This window comes from Homo sapiens, chromosome 12, assembly GCF_000001405.40.
Source record: "Homo sapiens chromosome 12, GRCh38.p14 Primary Assembly".
Taxonomy (NCBI): Eukaryota; Metazoa; Chordata; class Mammalia; order Primates; family Hominidae; genus Homo; species Homo sapiens.
In genome coordinates, this window is record NC_000012.12 from 13,495,571 (window position 1) to 13,516,594 (window position 21,024).

General features: G+C 39.6%; 5 annotated features.

Moving 5' to 3' along the window:
- Positions 3,059 to 3,560: an enhancer, noted in NCBI's record as "H3K4me1 hESC enhancer chr12:13651563-13652064 (GRCh37/hg19 assembly coordinates)". NCBI's record gives its function as "activates a minimal SCP1, AML or CMV promoter by ChIP-STARR-seq in naive H9 embryonic stem cells {active_cell/tissue: H9 hESC(naive)}" and the evidence as "EXISTENCE:reporter gene assay evidence [ECO:0000049][PMID:30033119]".
- Positions 3,561 to 4,060: an enhancer, noted in NCBI's record as "H3K4me1 hESC enhancer chr12:13652065-13652564 (GRCh37/hg19 assembly coordinates)". NCBI's record gives its function as "activates a minimal SCP1, AML or CMV promoter by ChIP-STARR-seq in naive H9 embryonic stem cells {active_cell/tissue: H9 hESC(naive)}" and the evidence as "EXISTENCE:reporter gene assay evidence [ECO:0000049][PMID:30033119]".
- Positions 3,569 to 3,738: an enhancer, noted in NCBI's record as "experimental_26305 CRE fragment used in MPRA reporter constructs". NCBI's record gives its function as "activates a minimal promoter by MPRAs in K562 erythroleukemia cells, with activity observed for the introgressed 12:13652158 or rs35910789 variant allele {active_cell/tissue: K562}" and the evidence as "EXISTENCE:reporter gene assay evidence [ECO:0000049][PMID:34662402]".
- Position 3,654: a transcriptional cis regulatory region, noted in NCBI's record as "Neanderthal adaptively introgressed variant 12:13652158 (GRCh37/hg19 assembly coordinates) or rs35910789 in the experimental_26305 CRE". NCBI's record gives its function as "modulates activity of the experimental_26305 enhancer by MPRAs in K562 erythroleukemia cells {active_cell/tissue: K562}" and the evidence as "EXISTENCE:reporter gene assay evidence [ECO:0000049][PMID:34662402]".
- Positions 5,892 to 6,092: a silencer, noted in NCBI's record as "peak1577 fragment used in MPRA reporter construct". NCBI's record gives its function as "represses an SCP1 promoter by STARR-seq MPRAs in K562 erythroleukemia cells {active_cell/tissue: K562}" and the evidence as "EXISTENCE:reporter gene assay evidence [ECO:0000049][PMID:32103011]".

Consider the following 21,024-nt stretch of genomic DNA (forward strand, 5'->3'; position numbering starts at 1 on the left):
TGCCCAGTATGATGGTCACTAGCTGCATGTGGTCACTAGCACTAGAAATATGGCTAGTTTGGCTGAGGAACTGAATATAAAATTTTAATTTCATTAGGCACAAATTGCTAGAGACTTACCATATTGGCCAGCATAAGTCTTCAGAATTATCTATATCTTTAGTTATACCACTAAGTATGTGACTGTCTTTTTCTAGCTGCCTTGACTTTGAGCCCTACAAGCTCCCTCTTCCCAGTCCCTGAGCCATGAGAACCAAACCATGCCTAAGTATATGTAAAGACCACCATCCTCTCTGGTGGATGAGTCTGGTCTTAGTCTGTGGCAATAAGTACATTTTGCCTAGATTGTTTTTCTGGAAGAGTACTTGTCACATTTTATAATAGTAATAATTATAATTTGTTAGCATATTCTGTATACCCATCCCTCATACTCAGTCATCTATAGGTATTACATCTATTACTCTTCCCACCAACTCAGTGAGTACGCTCTATTACTGTCAACCAGTGGCCAGAAAGCAAATCTGTCTTCTTCCAAAATCCGTGCTCTTTTTACTATCCCACACTGTCTAAGAACTGAGGATTAGTGTACAATCCCCTGTTGCTTGGGCAGGGGAGATTTTCCTTCATTTATTAAAAAATACTATTGGCTGCCTGTTAAGTGCCAGGCACTGTGCCAGGTAAAGTACATAGTGATGAATCAAATGGGATTATCCTAGCTGACATTGGACATGTTTTCTAGTAAATGCTGGTTTTTGGAGGAAGAAATTTGGTAGATTCTGTTAAGTAGCTGGGAATTCAGTGCTTATATGCTGCAAACTGGAGCTATTTATACTGGAGCTGTTCCTTTGATGTTTGAAACGTGCAGCAATTCTCTCTTGTAGCCAAGATGTGTAATTTTTTTTTTTTGGGGGGGGTGTTTTTTACCATTAAAATATTATGTTTTATTTACTCAAGAGTTAAAAATCCTAGGATTTCATCATGAACTCCACATACAAGCCAATTTCACAGCCATAGAAATTTCCAAAATTAGTATTGAGGCAGTTGACCACAGCTCTATGCTAATTTCTGAGGCTATTAATTGTGTTTGTGAAATATAAATGCATGAGCAATGACTGTGGATATTGCTTAAGAATCTAAACACTTTATTGAAGAAATAAGTGAGACAAAATAGGTGTGATAAGAGTACAAAATATGTACCATATTGCATCAAATCTAGCATACTATAAATTTTAAGACATATATCGTATTCCATGGACCACAAAAGATGCTGCCAATTAAATTATGACTTAATGTATTATCATATTGAATTTTTAAAAGACTTTTAAAGGAGGTCTTTTAGCTTATTCAAACATAACTGCCCTTTATTACTCATCTGCATAAATTAAAAAGAAAATGTAAGCCAAATAAATTGGTTAAGGAGTTCCTAAAACTGCTACAAATCAATAATTTGATCTTTTTGAATTGTTTTCAACTCAGAGTTATCAACATCTGTGTTTTTGCACACAGTCTCAGCTTCTGCACCATCAGGAGCCCTGGGATGCAGAATTTCTCGAACACTTTTCTTTTGGGATTTTATCCTACACCGTTGAAATCCTTCTGCAAATTTTGAAGATGGTGCTTTCTTGTTTATTGTGTCTTTTTTGCACATTTATCACTGAATGGACATAACAAAGCTTCATCTACTATTAGGCATCATCCTTCCTATGTTTTGTAAGGTGCTTGGTTGTTGCATTATAAGAAAATTTTAAAAACTGGTTACTCCTTCAATATCAAACATTTACTTCAGTATTACCAATTTTCTGCCTCACTGTTTTTGTACCTTTCTGGGTATGCACAATACCTCTATGTTTCAAAGCTAAATCACAATGTACTCTTTGTGAAGATATTTTAAAGAGCATTTAGACTTAATAGTGTAGCACAAAGAGTAACAAATAAACAGCTGAAGTAGCAATGACACAAATAGCTGACAGGAACTTTGCACAAAACAAAGAATGATAACAATGTCACCAGGCCTGCCAGCCTCCTGAGGTTCTAATATACCATGTTGGTAAGAAACAATCTGGTTTTAGATGTTGTAAAATATGAAAAAAAAGTGTGTCTAGAACCAATGAACTACGGATCATTGGATTCCAGTGATGCTGTTGATCAAGCTTATCTATATGGTTTAACATAGGAAATTCTCAGTTATAAATCCTTGGAAGCAGAGACAGTGATATCAAATGCCTCATGCTTCTAGAAGTGGTGCTCTGTGAAGCAAAATGACTCTTCAAGTTTCAGAGTAAAGGCTGAATTTAGTTACTTTGGGCACTGAGAAACGAAGTTATAATCTGGATTTCTGGCTCTCTGGTTTTTTTTTTTTTTCCTGGATTGCTGGATTTCTCTTTTTAAACACCTTTTTGCCCTCAACACCAGATACTAGTGAATTTGTAAAGAAATAAAATAGTATGCAATCCTTACTTACGTTTTGCTCAAAAAGATGATTTGTCATGTCTCACAATTACAGGCCTCCTTTATTAATACATTCCAAAGATATTTATTGAGTGTTGCTGTGTGCCAGGTGCCGACATAATATGGACCAAAAAACTTGCCCTTGTGGAGTTTTCACTATGGTTGGGGGAGGCATATCACACACAAACAGGTAAACTGCATGCTGTGCTATACATACAGAGTCCCTGGTAAGGTCCATGGGGGGAAGCAGAACTGAGAGGGATGAGTGGCATCTCTGTATCTTTCAGTGCTTCCCAGCTGGAAGGTGCATCAGCCTGGCTCATCCCTAGCAGTGTGTTGTCCCCTCGGTTATTGCTAGACAGGCTCCTGGTCCAGACACAGGTCTCCAGCGAGTCTTCAGACCAAGCCCTGTATCCTGAGGGGAGGTTTGGACTCAGCCCCCACCTCCTATTCCCTGTACCGTAATTTTGAGTCTCTCATCAGTCACGTGGACTGGTTACATCTTTGTCTCCCCTTCAGAACACCCTGGAGCCTGTACCTCCCTCAGAGTGTCTTTCCTGGCTGCCTTGCCACTACTCGAAGCATTCCCAGACTGCAGTGCTGGGACCCACAGTTGCACAGTCAGGGACACGCTCTCCACAAGTGACACTAAAGGAGCGAGGAAGAATTTTTGCATCTTGTTGAGCTCCACTTCCTCCTCAGGCAAATGACTTGGCAAATCATTCTCTTTTTCTTCTCAGATGTTTCCTCTCTTTTTCACAGAAGGTGAACAAAATGCTCTCCTCCTTGCCTCACTAGAGAATAACCTGCCATTTCCAGTTAGGACTGATAGTGAAGGCTGTGAGGTGGAGTGCTGCGGGCACTCAGTCCAGGCGCGTCCCTGGCTCTCTTTCCTTGCCGTTTCTGCAGTCTGACCTTGGCCCTTTGAGCCTGTGCTGGGGTGGAGATGCTACTCCTTGAGGAGGTGAACTGTCAGCTATGTGATGTCCTCCCACCCTAGTGTTACCTGGAATGACCAGACACCAGAAATAAAACTGGAAATACAGCAGTGTGTGGCCTCCCAAACGAACAGGCCACTGCTCTCCCTGCTTCCCTGAGGCTTCGGGGCTGGAACTCAGAGCTCAGGTTCACACCTCACTCTAATGGGAACACATTGTCAGGGGCTTCTCACAGAGGGGAGCCTGCTGAGAGAAGGCTGCAGGCAAGGAACTCTCAGCCGTGCAGCCACATAGCCTGCACAGGCCAGGCTGGGCTGCCCACCCCTCCCCATGCTCCCCATCCATGGCTGGGCTATGGTGAGCTTCCTTCAAACCTGCTCAGCCTTGGCAGGCTCTGCTCAGAGACAGAATACTCTGTAAGGAGGGTGGCAGTGGGGGTTGGTGGAAGAGGACAGGGAATGGCTAAAAGGGCCAGTGGGAAGCCGGGAGCTCAGAGCCTTTCAGAAAGGAAACGAGAGTCCGTAAGCCAGGGTTTGGAAGAATTGGGAGACATTTGAATCCTCCCTCAATGTGAAGGCCATGCTTTTCTGTGAGGTGAAAGATGCTGGACCAGAGGCTCTAGTCTCCCGATGTGGGAGGTTGTGGTGATGTCGGGGTCACTTCTCTGCCAGGAACCTGTGTGTGCTTACCAGGATCTGGCTAAACAGGAGGAAAAATAGGAAGATCTAAAAGAGAGGCAATAGGTTAGCAATATTAATCTGTTGAAGGGAAAGAAGAGGCTAATACTGAATGATGACAGCCAGTTTCTCCAATAATACTGGTGGCATGGAACTCAGGGACTGTGTGTAACCAACATACTGCTTAGTCATAACAGATGTAGCACAGATACCTAACCATCTTATAGACAGAAAATCTGATCACCCCGGAAGTTAAAATCACACCATAACGACAGAGCCCAAGGAGATATCCTTGTTCTCCTCAATTCTAGACCAGAGCCATGTTGACTGTCTGCTCTGCACCTCTGGCTGGGTAGAGAGATGAGCAGAGGGAGTCTGGGAAGGCAGGTAAGCAGAGATCAGAGAAATGGAAGCTCAGTCTGTGGAAGGAGCCAGGGAAGAAGTTGCCAGGACCACAGTTGCCAGGAATCAATGACAAGGAGGAGGTATATTTGAGAACCGATCACGTCAGTGTCGTTAGTGTCTCCCCGAAATTCATCTCCACCTGAACCTCTGTATGTGACCTTTGCAGACATAATCACATTAGCATACAGTAGGTACCAAGAGATCGACACCACCCTGGCTAACACGGTGAAACCCCGTCTCTACTAAAAATACAAAAAATTAGCCGGGTATGGTGGCAGGCGCCTGTAGTCCCAGCTACTCGGGAGGCCGAGGCAGGAGAATGGCGTGAACCCGGGAGGCGGAGCTTGCAGTGAGCTGAGATTGTGCCACTGCACTCCAGCCTGGGTGACAGAGCAAGACTCCGTCTCCAAAAAAAAAAAAAAAAAAGATACGGTAGGTACCAAATGCTATACAACTGGTATCATTTTAAGAGTAGGGCAGTTTGGACACAGAGACACAGACACAGGAAGAGAACATCACATGAAGAGAGAGGCAGAAATTGGAGTGATGCAGCTTCGAGGGAAGGAGAGCCCTGGATGCAGGCAACCACCGGAAACTGAAAGAGCCAAGCGAGGATTCTTCCCTAGCACCCTTGAAGGAGCATGGCCCTGCTGACTCTGTGCCTTTGGAATTGTGGCCTCCAGAACTGCAAGGGAGTAAATTTGTGTTGTGTTAAGCCACCAGGTTTGTGATCCTTTGTTACAGCTGTCCAGGGAAACAAATACTCCTGGGATCAGGGCCGCACCTCAGAATCCAGGTCAGTGCTTTCTGCAAGGTGGACGAAGGTGCCCATGCTTCCTCCACTCTTCCTCTGGAGTAAAGTGGGCCCTGGGTGATCTTATTTGAGACTGATTTCTCTGGGTGTGGCGCAGAACCACTTCAGCTGTCCCTGCTGTTCTGAAGCTTCTGTTTTAACTGAGGGACTGCAGAGGCTGGTAAGTCAATAGTGCTTTCTCCAGGGATCACAGACAGGCCTTCCTAGTCACAGCTTAGCTCATTCCCACCTCAATACAGCACATCCTGCAAATGAGGAAAAACTGAGAGGCACCTGCACAATTTACCATGTGTCTTAGCTGGATCCTTACTGAGTTCTATACCTTATTTCCCATGGAGACTCACACAGATGCAACTTCTAAACAGTGGGGCCACACTCCTGCATTTGGACACCCATTTCCTTCCTCAGATCATAGTGGTCCTCCTTTCCCCTGGCACCGATACTAACTTATATAACTGCTTCTTCACACCTTATGTATTAGCTATATATTGCTGAATAACAACATTATTCCAGAATTTGTCAGCTTAAATAACATTTATTATCTCACAGTTTCTGAGGGTCAGGAATCCAGAAGTGTCTTAGCTAAGTGCTTCTGACTAATCAAGTTTTCGGCCAGGCTGCAATCATTTCTAGGCTTGACTGGGGCTGGAAAATCTGCTTCTGAGCTCCCTCACATGGTTGTCAGCAGACCTCAGATCCTCACTAGCTATTGGCTGCAGATTGCAGCTCCTCCTCAGGCTGGTGACTCCATAGGCTCCTGAATGTCCTTGTGATACAGCTTCTGGCTTCCCAAAGCCCACAATCTGAGCACACACAAGAGAACAACCTAGACAGAAGCCGCGGTCCATTGTAATCTACCTTGAGAGTGACATACCATAACTTCTGCCATTTGCTGTTGGTCCCAGACCAACTCTGCCACAAAATGGAACAGACTGCATGAGAGTATGACTGCCACAAAATGGAACAAACTGCATGAGAGTATGACTACCAGGAGGTGGGGATTTCAGAGGACCGTCTTGAAGAGACTACCACACCCTATTAGAATCAAGCATTTCTTGTCTTGACTGGTCATTTCCTTTTTCTGAGCATGGGGTAGCAGAGAGATCACTTATGGCCACAGCCCCCAGAGTCTGGGAACCTGACCAATTCTACTATTTAATCCTATCTGGGGGATCCAAATTTCCCCCTTTTCCTTTGGCCAACGGAGATACTGCACTATGGCTAGGAAAATAGTGGCACTTTGTTAATCCCTTCTTGGCCGAACTACCTAGATTCAAGTCTTGACTCCTTCACTTATTAGCTTTGTGATACTGGGCAAGGTTTTCAGCTTCTCTGTGCCTCAGTTTTATGTAAAATGGGGCTGAAACATGATACATTTCATAAGATTATTTTATGGCTTTAAGAGGTAAATATATATAAAATAAGTAGCGCAATGCAAGGGGTGCATAAATGAGAGCTATTATGATAACTGTTGGAATACATCCTAATTTAGAATACACAAAGGAAATAGATGGGGTGAAGGGGAGTGGTAAAGCAGTGAAAAGTCAGATTCTTTGTTAAATGTTCTGTGATTTATGGAGCTTCAGATTTTTTAATGTAACTGTTACTCCAAACAAATGTTCTTTCCCTCTTCTTCTACTTCTTCTCATGAATACAATGGTGTTAATTCCTGTGCCTCTTACAGTTCAAGCAAGAAAGACTGCCCAATTGTGGCCTAACCTGTGTGTCTATAATTTGGTGAGGGTGATATGCCCCAATATAGAGAGAACCATAATTCTGACCTTTCAACTAAATGGAATTAATTTTAAAAGGAAAAAAATTAAATACCAATAAAGTTAATAAACAATTTTGAATTAAGAAAGTAACACTCCTTTATTGAATTCATTATTTTAATATCCCTTTGCTGAGTTTGGAACAGTCACATCTGCCAAATTTCAACTAGGTCAGCACAAATGTTTTTATTTGTAAAATATTCATTAGTAAAAATAACTATACCCCATTGTTTAAAAACCCTTACCAAGTGGATTGGGTGCTGCTGGTTTATGGTCCTTGTCATCCACATTGTGAGATACCAGTTATTTGGGTCAATGGCTCCTAAGCCAGATAGCACCAAATACTTGGCTGGATATTTTCTCATTCATGTTTGCAAACCTAGAATTAGAAAGTGAGATGACCATATACAAAACTGTAGCAGCCAGATTTGACATTAAGAAAACAAAACTAAGCTTAACTCAAAAGGGCCCCCAAAACAGCAATGAACAAGAACTATTTGTCTATTCTTCCTCCTGTTGGTTGAGTCTGCACACCAGGATGCAACTAACAGTCCTCTTGAAAGAGCGCTGGAGAAATGCTCTGCCCTGCTGGTTAAGCAGACTGCTATGTCACAACTTGAGTTGAGTTTCCATCAGCATTTCAAGGTCAGCACCCATGATCATTCCTCAGTAGCCTGTTAGAACAAAGCACCCAGGGCTTCTCTTATCTCTGATGCCTATAGATCAAGACAGTTCTTGCTGGAAAGAATCCTTGGCTATCTCCATTTATTGTCCTCTCAGCCTCTGACAACCTAGAGAAGAATGCAGTGACTATTTCTCAGAAATGGACGGTGTGGGACAGGTGGTTCAGACAATTCATGGCCAAAAGATTCAGCATTCAGGCCAAAGAAACTGATAAAAAAAAAAAACAGGATTCTTTTCTAACCAGTTGTCTGAATTACTTACCCTTCTCTCTTCCAGAGGCCCTGCTGCCTGACAAAGAGAAATTCATAATGACAGTGGAAAATTGCCAAACTCAGCAAATTTCTCCAAGCAAATAATGATTCCAGTAAAGAGTGTTCAAGTTTGCTATAACAATAATGAAAATAATAATATTTTATACACTAAAGTGCTTCTCATCCCCTAGTCTGCTATTTAATATGTTAAGTTTATACATTTGCATATGCCTGTAGGAGAATGTGCACAGTGTATATTAAACACATAAAATACTTTGGTGAAACATTGTCAGTTGTTTGATTAATTTCCAAAATTTATTCATCTTGCCTACTTAAAAACTTTAATCCCGAATATTACATTAGCCTCTACCCAATCTTAACAATTTCTCCCATTCACATTTTTAGGATCGAAATTTTCATCTATTAACATCATATAGATGGCTAAGAAGTTAGGGGCATCTTTCTCTGAATGTGTAATTTCCTACTCAGAAAGCTAAAACAAAACCTGAGGAAGGGGAGGCAAATGAAACATTTTCTCATTTGGGATTGTGCCTGATTTCTATTATCTCTACCCAGCCTGTCTGAGGTCAGAAGCTCAGAAACTGGAACATCACACTAGCCTAGCCTGGCTTTATTCAAGTTTAGAAATGAAACACTAGAAATACAGGATTCTGCAGAGCTAAAGATTTCTGTAACCACAGTGACTCATAAACACAGCACAAGAAATGTATTTGATTTGGGTTTTGGCCTTTAAATGTGCCACTTTCATCTCTTTTTGGCCTCTCCTTACCACACAGTGTTCCACTTAGGATATCATAGCCAGAGCTGTAAAGCTCCCTAAAGTCTTTGAAGAGAAAGGCTGATTTTGTGCAAAGTAGAGCTGTTGTTTTATTAAGGATGCATGAGAAAATATAACTAGACTTCACAGAGTGACTAAGAAATGCTGCCGGTGGGCTGAATCTCAGCCATCACTGGCCCTTCTGAGATCTTTAATCTCTTCTGTGAAGATCAAGAGGGAAGTGTGTGTAGGGGAAAAGCAGAGCCAGGCCCAGTACCAGGAGAAGGGGAGAAGGAATTTTGGTGAGGAAATTCAGCTCAGCAAGCATTCATTGAGCTAGGTGCTAGAGATAAAACTTGATAAATTTCCTGCCACAAGAGGACATGCAAACAGGAAATTTCAATATAATGTGCTCAGAAATAGTGTAGAGATGTGCTAGGGGACCCTGGGAGAGCTGCGTGGGGTCACTGCAGTCACTATGGGGATTATAAAGGAAGGGTATCTGGACAATGGAAGGCTGAGCTAATAGCCAAGATGTACAGACAGGAAGACAGGTCTAGACAAAATGGCAGCGTCTGAGAGAACAAGAAACTGCATGCTGTATGCTGGGGACTTTTAGCACTTGGTTAGCACGGGGGTAGTGCCAAAATGAGAATGCAGAGGTAAACAGGGCCAGGTCACAAGGGGCATTGCCTGCCATGCTGAAGAAATTAACCATTGTTCTGTTGGTAGCGTAAAAGCCACTGAAGGGTTGTCATTAAGGAAAAAATGGGGCCTGATCTGTGTTTTAGAGAGATCGTTTCACTAGCTATATATATTTAAGAGGCAAGACTGGAGGTAGAGAGGTGTGGCTTACAGGTGATTTCAAGAGCTTAAGAAAGAATGGCAAAGGCCTGACCTAGGACAGTAGTTCCAGGGAGAAGATAGACTAAGTTGGAGACATAAATCAATGGAACCTGATTAGTTATTTGTGGTATAGGAAGAAAGGGGAAAAGAGCAGGTTTCTAGAACAGTGGTTCTTAAAGTGTGATAGGTGGAGCAGCAGCAGCAACAACACATAGGAATGTATTAGAAATGCAAATTTGGGGGCAACCCCAGACCTTGTGAACCAGTTACTGAATCAGAAACACTGAGGCTGGAGTTCAGCAGTATGTGTGTTAACAAGCCCTGCTAGTTCTGATGCAAGCTCAAGTTTGAGAACCACTAGTCTAGGATAACTTCCAGGATTTTACCTTGGGTTCCTGGGTAAATGATGCTACCATTGGCTGAGATAGGGGATACTCTAAAAGGAACAGAGTGTTGTGAGGGTGAGAAGTCAGCAAGTTAAAGAAAGGAAGAGAAACAGGGTGATTTTCAGCAAAGAAAAACAAAAAGAATTGGAAGGAAAAAGTGACTCTCAGAGCCTTCTTGACGTGCGCAGTTGGCAGAGGAAAATTCTGAAAGCCCAATTCGCTGCTCTTGGGGTAACAGTGGAAGGGAGGTTGCAGTCTGAATAATGAGTCAGCAATTTTATCCCCCAAATCATTAAGAAAATCTCAGTTGCCCAAACTATTGATTGTAACCTGTACTGCTTTCCATAACAATACACAGTAGCCACAATTTGGCAGGATTTGATTGAGGTCCTCCTACCCTTGTGTGTCTGCGAAAGAATATGCGTAAACTCAGGACCCAGATCAAAACCTAAGCGGGCCGTGAGAATGATTAACACTACGTTCAACAGCAGAGATGGTGGAACTTGCAGATCATGGCAAAACTTGGCCAAGGGGTCAGAAAAGTCCCTCTCATAGGAACAAGATCCCCTGATTTCTCTTATCTCTACCCAGCCTGTCTGATGGGAGAAGTTCATGAACTAGAACATAGTAGCCTAACCTGGCTTTATTCAAGTTTAGAAATAAAACACTGGAAATACAGAATTCTGCAGAGCTGAAGATTCCTGCAGCCACAGTGACTCATAAACACAGCCAAAGAATTTTTTATTCTTTGCTTCTGAAATTATTTGCCCCTAAATTTGTTGGTCACTGTGCCAGAGTCAGAGATCAAAGTACAGCTAATGTCACCCAAGTGAATGCTTGGGTCAAGGTGGTGAGATGTCAGCCACAATGGAGGGGGATGGGCAGGGAGAAAGGATCATTCTTCTGCTGGATAGAGTGTCCTGGAGTGGGGTCAGAGATGGATAAAGTAAGCAAGGAGAGGAAAGGGACAAATCATGGGGGAGGTGGTAACAGAAGGGTTCTGCAGAAAGTTCTGCCTGGATCCAGCCCTGCATCACATAAAGAGAGATGAAATAGCATCCCCATCCTTGTGAAATAGAGTTACTTGCCCAGGACATTCAGGTCTGAAAATAGAAGATTTAATGCACCAAGGAGGCTAGTAACTCAGTAATGACAGAGGTATGGAAGCTTTTTCCTAACATGGTATCTGAAGATAAAAGCAGCTCAGAGTAGACACATATTTTAAGTGCTGTCCTCCTAATACAAATCCATCAGTTAGATGTGCTCTTTGACCGGCTTTTTAGCAGCAAGAATGGCTTGTACTGATGAATCCGCATGATCTGTGCCAACGTTCCCAAGCCTTTGGCTTCACAGCACCATGTTCCAACCAACTGTTCTTTTCTCTGCTCCAATTCATTCTACGTATCACTGCCAGATCGATTTTCTAAAGTAGGACCCACGACTTTGTTCTGCTCAAAACCAGCAATGGCTCCCTCTTGCCTGTAAAACTGAATATAAACTTTTCAACTTGACCAAGGTACCTCTAATTTCCATTATTAATTCCTGTCTTTCCCTCAAAGCCATGGTGCTTGTAGACCCAGCTACTCAGGAAGCTGAGGTGGGAGTATTGCTTGAGTCCAGGAGGTAAAGGCTGCAGTGATCCTTGATGGTGCCACTGAATTCCCGCCTAGGTGGAAAAAAAAAAAAAAAGACTCTCCTGGACAGAGGTTGGATATTTTAAAATTATACTTTCTTGATCCATTTGAGCAGTTTTAGAATAGAAAAGAAGGTACATATTAATGGAAGGAGGAGGAGGGTTCGAGGAGCTCTGATGAGCATTATGAGCAGCCTGTCCTAGGCACATGAGGCACATGAGGACTAGGCACATGAGGCACATGAGAACTTGGCACACAGGATGGGGAGGGACCAAGGAACCACAGGAGGGGACTTGGTAAGGGCCTGCGATTTTTGTCTGATACATATGCAGTCTGGCTTCTTGTAGAAAGATCCACTTCAGAATTCCCAGCTAGGGAATTCTGCCTCTATGAGGGGCTGAGGGGACCCTGCTCCCATCAACCCCATGTGTACTACTAATCAAACATCTGCTGTGGGCTCCCTAACACCTTCATAAGCAGGCTTTCAGGCTTTTAAAATTAAAATAAAGAATGAATATGGTAGCACCAAGAAGCTGTCAATAATTTTCTTGAGAACAGGCAAACTTTGAGTGCACCTGCCTTATCCCCAGGAGAACAGCTGCAGCATGGAGCTCCAGGAGGACAGCAAAGGATGTTCCCAGTTCCCATTCCTGGTAGAGTGCTTGGTCAAGTGGCTTAACCCACATGTGCTTCAGTGTCCTTATGTGTAAACTGGAGATAATAGACTAATAGTACAAGGTGCTGTTCTAGGTATTTTATACATATTATCTCATTTAATCTTTACAACAGTCTTGTGAGATAATATGTATAAAACACTCAGAAGAGCACCTTGTACTCAATAAGGCCTAAGTAAATGCATGCTGCTGCTATTAGTGGCAGATAAGGTAGGGTTCTAAAGTCAGCTTTCTTGGGTTCAGGTCACAGCTTTACCTTGCTGACCTTGGGCAATTACTTAACCTTCTCTCTATGACTCGGATTCTTCATCTGTAAAATGGGGATAAGCAATAATACTTTCCTCATAGGATTGCAGTGAAGATAAGTAAGTTAGTGCATTTTGAGCAGTGACTGGCATCATATGTTATCAAATATCAGCTACTATGCTAATTATCTTAGTCATCTCCCTATCCCCCCCCCCCCTTGCCCTCCCCTTGGCCGACGTAGTTTTTTAAACTTTGATTCTTAATATTTTAGGAAGTGCTAGGATTCCCTGGAGTCTTCCTTCCTGCAAGTTCATTCTATTTTATGTCTCGATTAGTGGGTCATAGATTTACAGTTGTTGTAAAACCTGGGTGCTTGGGTCTCAGCCCAGAGACACTGATTCAGTTCAATTGCAGTGGGGCTCCAGCACTGGTATTCTTTTTAAAGCTTCCCATATTATTCTAATGTGCATTTAGTATTCAGAACAACTTGTCCATACTGGTTTGAATCAAAAGAATATAAGGAGGAGTGTACACATACTAGACCACTCATCAAAAACCACCTAAGCCTTTTACTAAAGAAATGATCATAGAGCCTTGGTAAACCTTTCAAATTGATTTGGGAAGAACCTTGTGTTTGTGAAACTCTCAAAAGCATTTTGATGTGCATATGTGCTTGGCTTCAGCTCAGATACCTGTAGTGATACTTACTGTGGAGCCTTGCTCAGGTATTGTGGGTTGGGGGCGGGGCAGTGGCTACTATCTGGGGTCATTTGACATTGAATTTCAGCTATCATCTTTAAAAAATCACTTGAGTTATGAAGGGAAAGGAGACATAACTCAGCTCAGAGTGTCCCACCTGCTGGACCACACATATTTGGTGTTTCTTTTATATTCACAGGCAGCTTTCACAGTCATTGTAAAAGATTCTTTGATTCAGGCTGAAGATTTTGAACTTTATTCTGTAAGCTGTGGAAAACTTGTGAAGATTTAGGGCAGGAAAGCAATATGGTGACAAAAGAATTTCAAGAGTTCTGGTGGTGATGTGTAGAATGGATTGGATCAGGGAAAGAAAGAGGACAGGGAGTGTTATCAGAAGGCGATTGACGCAGTGCAGGTGAGAAGTGCTGGGAGAGAAGGGAGGACATGCGGTGGAATGAAGGACTGGGGTTCTATTAAGAGGTGAGGCTGGCCTTCTGAAGGGGTGGAAAATGATACCCCTTTAACCACATCACTGGCCCCTCATAGCTAAATTATGAAGCCCAAAAGCTATCTTAGCTCATTTCTTATTCAACAAGAAATTTACTTAATCTCTAGAATGTGCCAGTTGTAGGCACACGTGGTATAGTCAGTGGTGAATGGTCAGAAAAGCTTGGACAGAGCTCACTTTCTAGTGGGTAGGGGAGGAGAATATAATCACACAAAAAGAATACATTAAAGTGCCATGCAGAGGATTATACTGAAGTGAAATGATAGAGCATCTAATGCCTAATTTAGATGTAGCCACAAACTGCCTTACCACGAATGTGGCATTTAAGCTGAGATCTGAAGAAGAAGGAACCAGCCTTGTGATGATTGCTGCAACAGCATCCCAGGCAGAGGAGCAGCAAGGGCAAAGGTGGCCATGAGCTTGAAAATCTGAGAAACCAAAGGAAAGCTGGTGCAGGTAGAGGATACTGGGGGGAACAGTGGTCTTAGGTGAGGTTGGAGGGGGAGGCAGAGGCCAGATTACTTAGGGAATTCAAAGTCAGGCTAAGGACTTAGTGTATCCTTTATTCCAGATAGCATAAAAAACAGTGGGAGGAGTTTTCAAAGGGGTGTAACATGAAGTGATTTGTGCATTTAAAAATAACTGTGGCCACTCTGTGGTGAATAAACTGTAAGCAGGGCAAAAAGGGTAAGAATGATATTGACTTCTGTTAGGGTAGAAGCAGTAGAGATGCAGGATAGTGAGTTGGTTTGAATATATTTTGATGATGGAACTGAGAGGATTTGATGATGTTTTATATATTGTGGTGAATGATAGGGAGAAATCAAGGCTACTTTATGGATTTTTGGTGTGAGACACTAGGGGCTACTTACTGAAGAGGGAAAGTTTCAAAAGCAGCAGGGTAACGGGGATAGGTTATCTGTAGGTATCTTCCTATCATGTTATGTTTTAGATAATTATTAAACTTCCCAGTTGAAGGGTGAAATAAATGAATATACGTATTTGAATGTAAGCATCTAGGCTAGGGAAAAGTTCATGATAGCAATAAAAATTTAGAATAAAGTGGATATGGAATGTAGTTAATGCCACAAGACCGGATGTAGTCACCTGGAAGGAGTGTGTAGGTAGAATAGAGATGGGAGCCTGGCACCAAGGTCTTTGGCTTAGCAATATTTTGAATTGTAGAAGAGGAAATGTTGACACAGTTGTCTGTGAAGAAGTGACCAGTGAGGAAAGAGAAGGATCAGGGGAATAAGGTATCATGAAAGCCAAGAAAAGAAAGTATTTTGGGATGAAGAAAGTGATCAACTGTGTGGGATGCTGAGAGGGGGAGTAATATGAGAACAGACTATTGGATCTAGCAACATGAAAATCATCGGGCCAATGTAGTCTCAATGCAGCAGTAGGACTGGAAGCCTAACAGGGGTGGGTTTGAAGAAAGAATACAGGACAGGAAAGGACAGGAAATAGAGAAAGTGACATTAGGAAGCTGAAGAAGTTTTGCTATAAAAGTGAGAAAAAAATGAGGCTTTGGTGGGCAAGCGAAAGTTTTATTTCAAAATTAAATAATACTGGAGCTTGTTTGTGTAGTAGAGAGGAGAGGGGCAATTAATGCAGAAGAAAGGGGGGCGAGTTGCAAGACTGAAGTCCATGAAGGTGAGAGCAGATGGGTTCAGAGCATGAGGGAAGAGTTGGCTCTGGATAAAAGCAGGAGACAGTGTGGACACATGGGCACCAATACCAAAAGGATGGTAGACTTGGTGGAAGAAAGATGGAGTTGCTCTCTAATTGCTCCTTTTAAAAAAATTATAAATTATCTTAAAATACATGTAACATAAAATTTACAATCTTACCAATTTTTAAGTGTGCATTTTAGTGGTATTAAATACATTCATAATGTTGTGCGACTATCACTTTTTTTTGTAAAACTGAAACTTTGTTCCCATTAACAATGGAATGATTTTGACTCTTCTAAGTACCTTATGTAATATATAACTGTACAGTATTTGTGTTTTTGCTACTGGCTTATTTTACTTAGCATTAATGTCTTCAAGATCCATCCATGTTAAAGCATATTGCAGAATCTCCTTCCTTTTAAGGCTGAATAATATTCTACTGTATACATATACCACATTTTTCTTATTCATTCGTTGATGAACACTTGGGTGGCTTCCACATTTTAGCTATTGTGAAAAATGCTGACCATGAACATGGGTGTACAAATATCTCTTTAAGACCCTGCATTCAATTATTTTGGGTATATACCTAGAAGTGTAATTGCCGGATTATATGATAATTCTATTTTTAATTTTTTGAGAAACTGCCCTATCGCTTTCCACAGCAGCTGTACCATTTTATATACCTACTAACAGTGCACCGTGGTTTCAGTTTCTCCGACCTCATCAACATGTGTTATTTTCTGTTTTTTGATAGTAGCCATCCTAATTGGTTGAGGTGATATCTCATTATAGCTTTGATTTGTATTTCCCTAATGATTAATGACAGTGCGCATCTTTTTATGTGCGTATTGGTCATTTATATATCTTCTTTAAAGAAATGTCTATTCAAGTCTTTTGACTATTTGTGAATTTAGTTTGTTGGTTATTGTTGAGTTTTAGAAGTTCCCTGTATATTCTGGATATTAATCTCTTCCCAGATAAATGATTTGCAACTATTTTCTCCCATTCTGTGGGTTGCCTTTTTACTCTGTTGATAGTGTCTTTTTTGTTGTTGTTGCTGTTACTTTGATGGTTTTTAAAAATATTTATTTAAAAGAAAAGTTTTAGGTTCACAGCAAAATCAGGAGGGTACAGAGATTTCCCATATGTCCTCTGCTCCCACACATGCCTAACCTCCCCCATTTTGATAGTGTTGATGCACACAATTTTTACATTTTCATGAGGCTCAATTTGTCTATGTTTTTCTTTTGTTGCCTATGCCTTTGGCTTCATATCCAAGAAATCATTGCCAAATCCAATGTTGTTAAGATTTTGTCTTACATTTGCTTCTAAAAAATGTATTTTAGTACTTACATGTAAGTTTTTTGATCCATGTTCAGTTAATTTGAAAATGGTGTTAGGTAAGGGTCCAGCTTCATTCCTTTCCACCTGGATATCCAGTTTTCTCAGTGCCGTTTGTTGAAAAGACTGTCTTTTTCTCATTGAATGTTTTCGACATACTTGTCAAAAATCATTTGACCGTAATGCAAGAGTTAATTTCTGGGCTTTCTTGTCTATTCCATTAGTTTATTTTTATGCCAGTATCACACTGTTTTGATTACTATAGCTTTATGGTAAGTCTTAAAATCAGGAAGTGTGAGTCTTCCAGCTATGTTCTCTTTTTTCAAGACTGCTTTGGCTCTTTGAGGTCCCCTGAGATTTTATATAAATTTTAGCATGAGTTTTTCTATTTCTGCAATAATAAAAAGTCATTGAAATTTGGATAGGTAGGAACTGCATTGGATCTGTGATCTCCTTGGGTTAGTATTGACATTTTTTATAATAAGTCTTTCAATTCATGAACTTGGGCTGTGTTTTCATTTACTTATGTCTTCTCTAATTTCTTTCAGCAATGTGTTATTGTTTTCGCTGTATAATTCTTTGAGTTTTTTAGTTAATTCCTAAGTATTTTATTCTTTTTGGCGTGATTGTAAATGAAATTGTTTTCATAATTCTCTTTTCAGATTGTTCATTGTCAGTGCATATAAATGCAACTGATTTTTATGTGTCAACTTTGTATCCTGCTACTTTGCTGAATTCATACATTTGTCCTAATTATTTCATGGTGGAATCTTTAGAATTTTCTATATACTATAAAAGAGCATATCATCTGCAAACAGATAATTTTACTTCTTTATAATTTGGATGTCTTTTAGTCCTTTTTATCACCTGATTTCTCTGGCTAGAACTTCCAATACTGTATTAAATAGAAGTGGTGAAAGGAGGCATCTTTTCCTTGTTCCTGATCTTAGAAGGAAATATTTAAGTCTTTTACCATTAAGGATGATGTTTACTGTTGGTTTTTCATATATGGTTTTTATTATGTTGAGGTAGTTTTCTTCTATTCCTAGTTTGTTGAGTGTTTTAACCATGGAAAAAGTGTTGAATTTTGTCAAATGTTTTTTTTCTGTACCAGTTGAGATTATCATGTGTTTTACTCCCTTAATTGTGTTAATGTGATGTATTACATTAATTGATTTTCATATATTGAACCATCCTTGCATTTCAGAAATAAATCTCACTTGGTCATTGACATAATCCTTTTGATAGGCTGCTGAATTTTGTTGAGGATTTTTGTGTCAACGCTTATAAGGTATATTCATCTGTAGTTTTTCCCCTTATAGTATCTTTTTCTGGCTTTGGTGTCAAAGTCATGCTGGCCTCATAGAATAAGTTAGGAAATCCTCCTTCTTCAATTTCCTGCAAAAATTTGAGAAGGATTAGTGTTAGCTTTTTTAAATGTTTGGTAGAATTCACCAGCAAAGCCATCAGGTACAGGACTTTTCTTCACTGGGAGATTTTAAATTATTGATTCAATTGCCTTACTAGTTATAGGCCTATTCAGGTGTTTTATATCTTTATAATTTAGTCTTCATAGGTTTTGTGTTTCTATGAATTTGTCCATTTTATCTATCTTATCCAATTTGTTGGTATACAGTAATTCATAGTGCTCCCTTATAATCTTTTTTATTTCTATATACTTTGTAATCTCTCTACTCTCAATTATCATTGTAATAGTTTGAGTCCTTCTTTTTAGTCCATCTAAATAAAGGTTTGTCAATTTTGTTGATCTTTTGAAAAAACCAACTTTTGGTTTCATTTACTTTCTCTATTATTTTTCTATTTTCTATTTTATTTATCTCTAATTATTATTTCTTTCCTTCTGCTAGCTTTGGGTTTAGTTTGTTTGTTTGTTTCTAGTTCCTTAAGTTTTAAAGTTAGGTTGTTAATTTGAGATCTTTCTAGGTTTTTAATGTATTTATAGCTGTGCATTTTCTCCTTAGCACTGCTTTTGCTATGTCCCATAAGTTTCGTTATGTTGTGTTTTCATTTAAATTTGTCAATATTTTTCAATTTCCTTTGTGATTTTTTTCTTTGATCCATTGTTTAAGAGTACATTGTATAATTTCCACAAATTTTTAATTTTTTCTGACTTTACTTCTCTTACAGATTTCTAACTTCATCCCATTATAGTCAGAGAGGGTACCCTGTATGAAATCTATCTTTTAAAATGTACTGATACTTAATTTGTGGCCTAAATATGGTCTATACTGGAAAATATCACAAATGTCTCAAGAGAAATATGTATGCTATTGCTGTTGGGTAAAGTGTTCAGTATATGTCTGTTAGATCTAGTTGGTTTTATGTGTCCTTTAAGTCTTCTGCTTCTTTACTTCTGTGCAGTTGTTCTATCCATTATTCAGAGGGGAATATTAAAGTATCCAACTATTATTAGTAAAACTATGTTTTTCTTCAATTCCATCAGTTTTTGCTTCATATATATTTATGGTTTGTTATTAGGTACATATATGTTCATAATTTTTCTATATTCTTGCTATATTGAAACATATTAATATATAATGTTTTGTCTCTTATAACTCTTTTTTTTTAAATTTAAAGTCCACTTATTCTCACATTAGGATAACCACCCCTGCCATCTCTTGGTTACTATTTGCATGGAATATCTTTTTCTATTTTTTTTCACTTTAAATCTATTTGTGTCTTTGAATCTGAAGTGATTCTCTTACAGACAGCATATAGTTGGATCATTTGCTGTTATCCATTCTGTCAATTTCTGCATTTTGATATAGAGTTTAATTCTCTATCAAAGTTTACAAAAGAGTTTACATTTAAAATAGCCAGTTACCAATAAGGGAGCATCTGTTTCTGTATTTTGCTATTTGTTTTCTATGGCTTTACAGCTCTTTTTGTCCCTTAATTTGTGCATTACTGTCTTCTTTTGTGTTTGATTTTTTTTTTAGTAGTGAAGTGTTTAAATTTCTTTCTCATTTTGTTTCGTATATATCCCACAGCTATATTCTTTGTGGCTACGATGGGGATTACATTTAATGACCTAAAGTTATAACACTCTAATTTGAATTTTACTAGTATAACTTCAGTAACATGCAAAACCTCTGGTTTCTATAGAGTTAGACCCACCTCTTTCAGCTGTTGATGTCACAAAATTACATCTTAATACATTGTGTGCCTTGAAACAGAATTATATTATGTCAAATAATGATTTTAAATTCATTAGTCAATTAAGTGAAAACAGAATGTAGAGTTACAAACCATGGCTATAATAATATTAGCTTTTAGACTAGTAATTGTGTGTTTTAAAAAAAGTATTAGTTTCTAATATTCTAGAAAACAAAAAGTCACATTATGAACATTTGTTACAATAATATTTGCTTTTATAATTGGCCATGTACTTACCTTTATTCAGATCTGTATTTCTTCATATGGCTTCAAGTTACTGTCTAGTATTTTTTCATTTCACCCTGCAGGACTTTCTTAAGAGTGAAATGAAAATGAGCATTTCTCACAGGGCAGTTCTAATGATAATAAACTCTCTCAGCTGTTGCTTATTTGGGAATATCTTAATTTCTCCCTTACTTTTAAAAGACAGTTTTGCTAGATATAGAATTCTTGGTAACAGATTATTTCCTTTTAGCACTTTGAATATATGGGCCCACTGCCCTGCCTCCTGGTTTCCAAAGTTTCTGATGAGAAACCTGCTGATAATCATACTAAGAATCCTTTATGTGTTTCTCTCTTCTCTCTTGCTGCTTTCAATATTTTCTCTTTGTTTTTGGATTTTCACTGTTTGATTGTAATGTGTCTCAGCATGAATCTTTTAAAATTCATCTTTCTTGACTTTCACTGACATTCCTGAATGTTTATATTCATGCCTTTCACCAAATTTGGGAAGTTTGAAGCCATTATTTCTTCACATGTTCTCTCTTTTCTGCTTCTGGGTCTCCCGCAATGTGTATGTTGGTTCACTTGATGGTGTTCCACAGGTCCCATAGGCTCTATTCACTTTTCTTTAATGTTTTTTATTTCTGTTCCAGACTTGATAACTTCTGTTAGCCTATCTTCAAGTTTGCTGATTTTTCTGCCTGCTTAAATCTGCCTTTGAATCCCTCTAATAGATTTTTCATTTCAGTTTTGTTCTTGTGTTTTACAGAATTTTTTTTAGGTTGTCTATCTCAATATTGTTTGGCTCTGTGTCTCCACCCAAATCTCATCTTAAATTGTAATCCC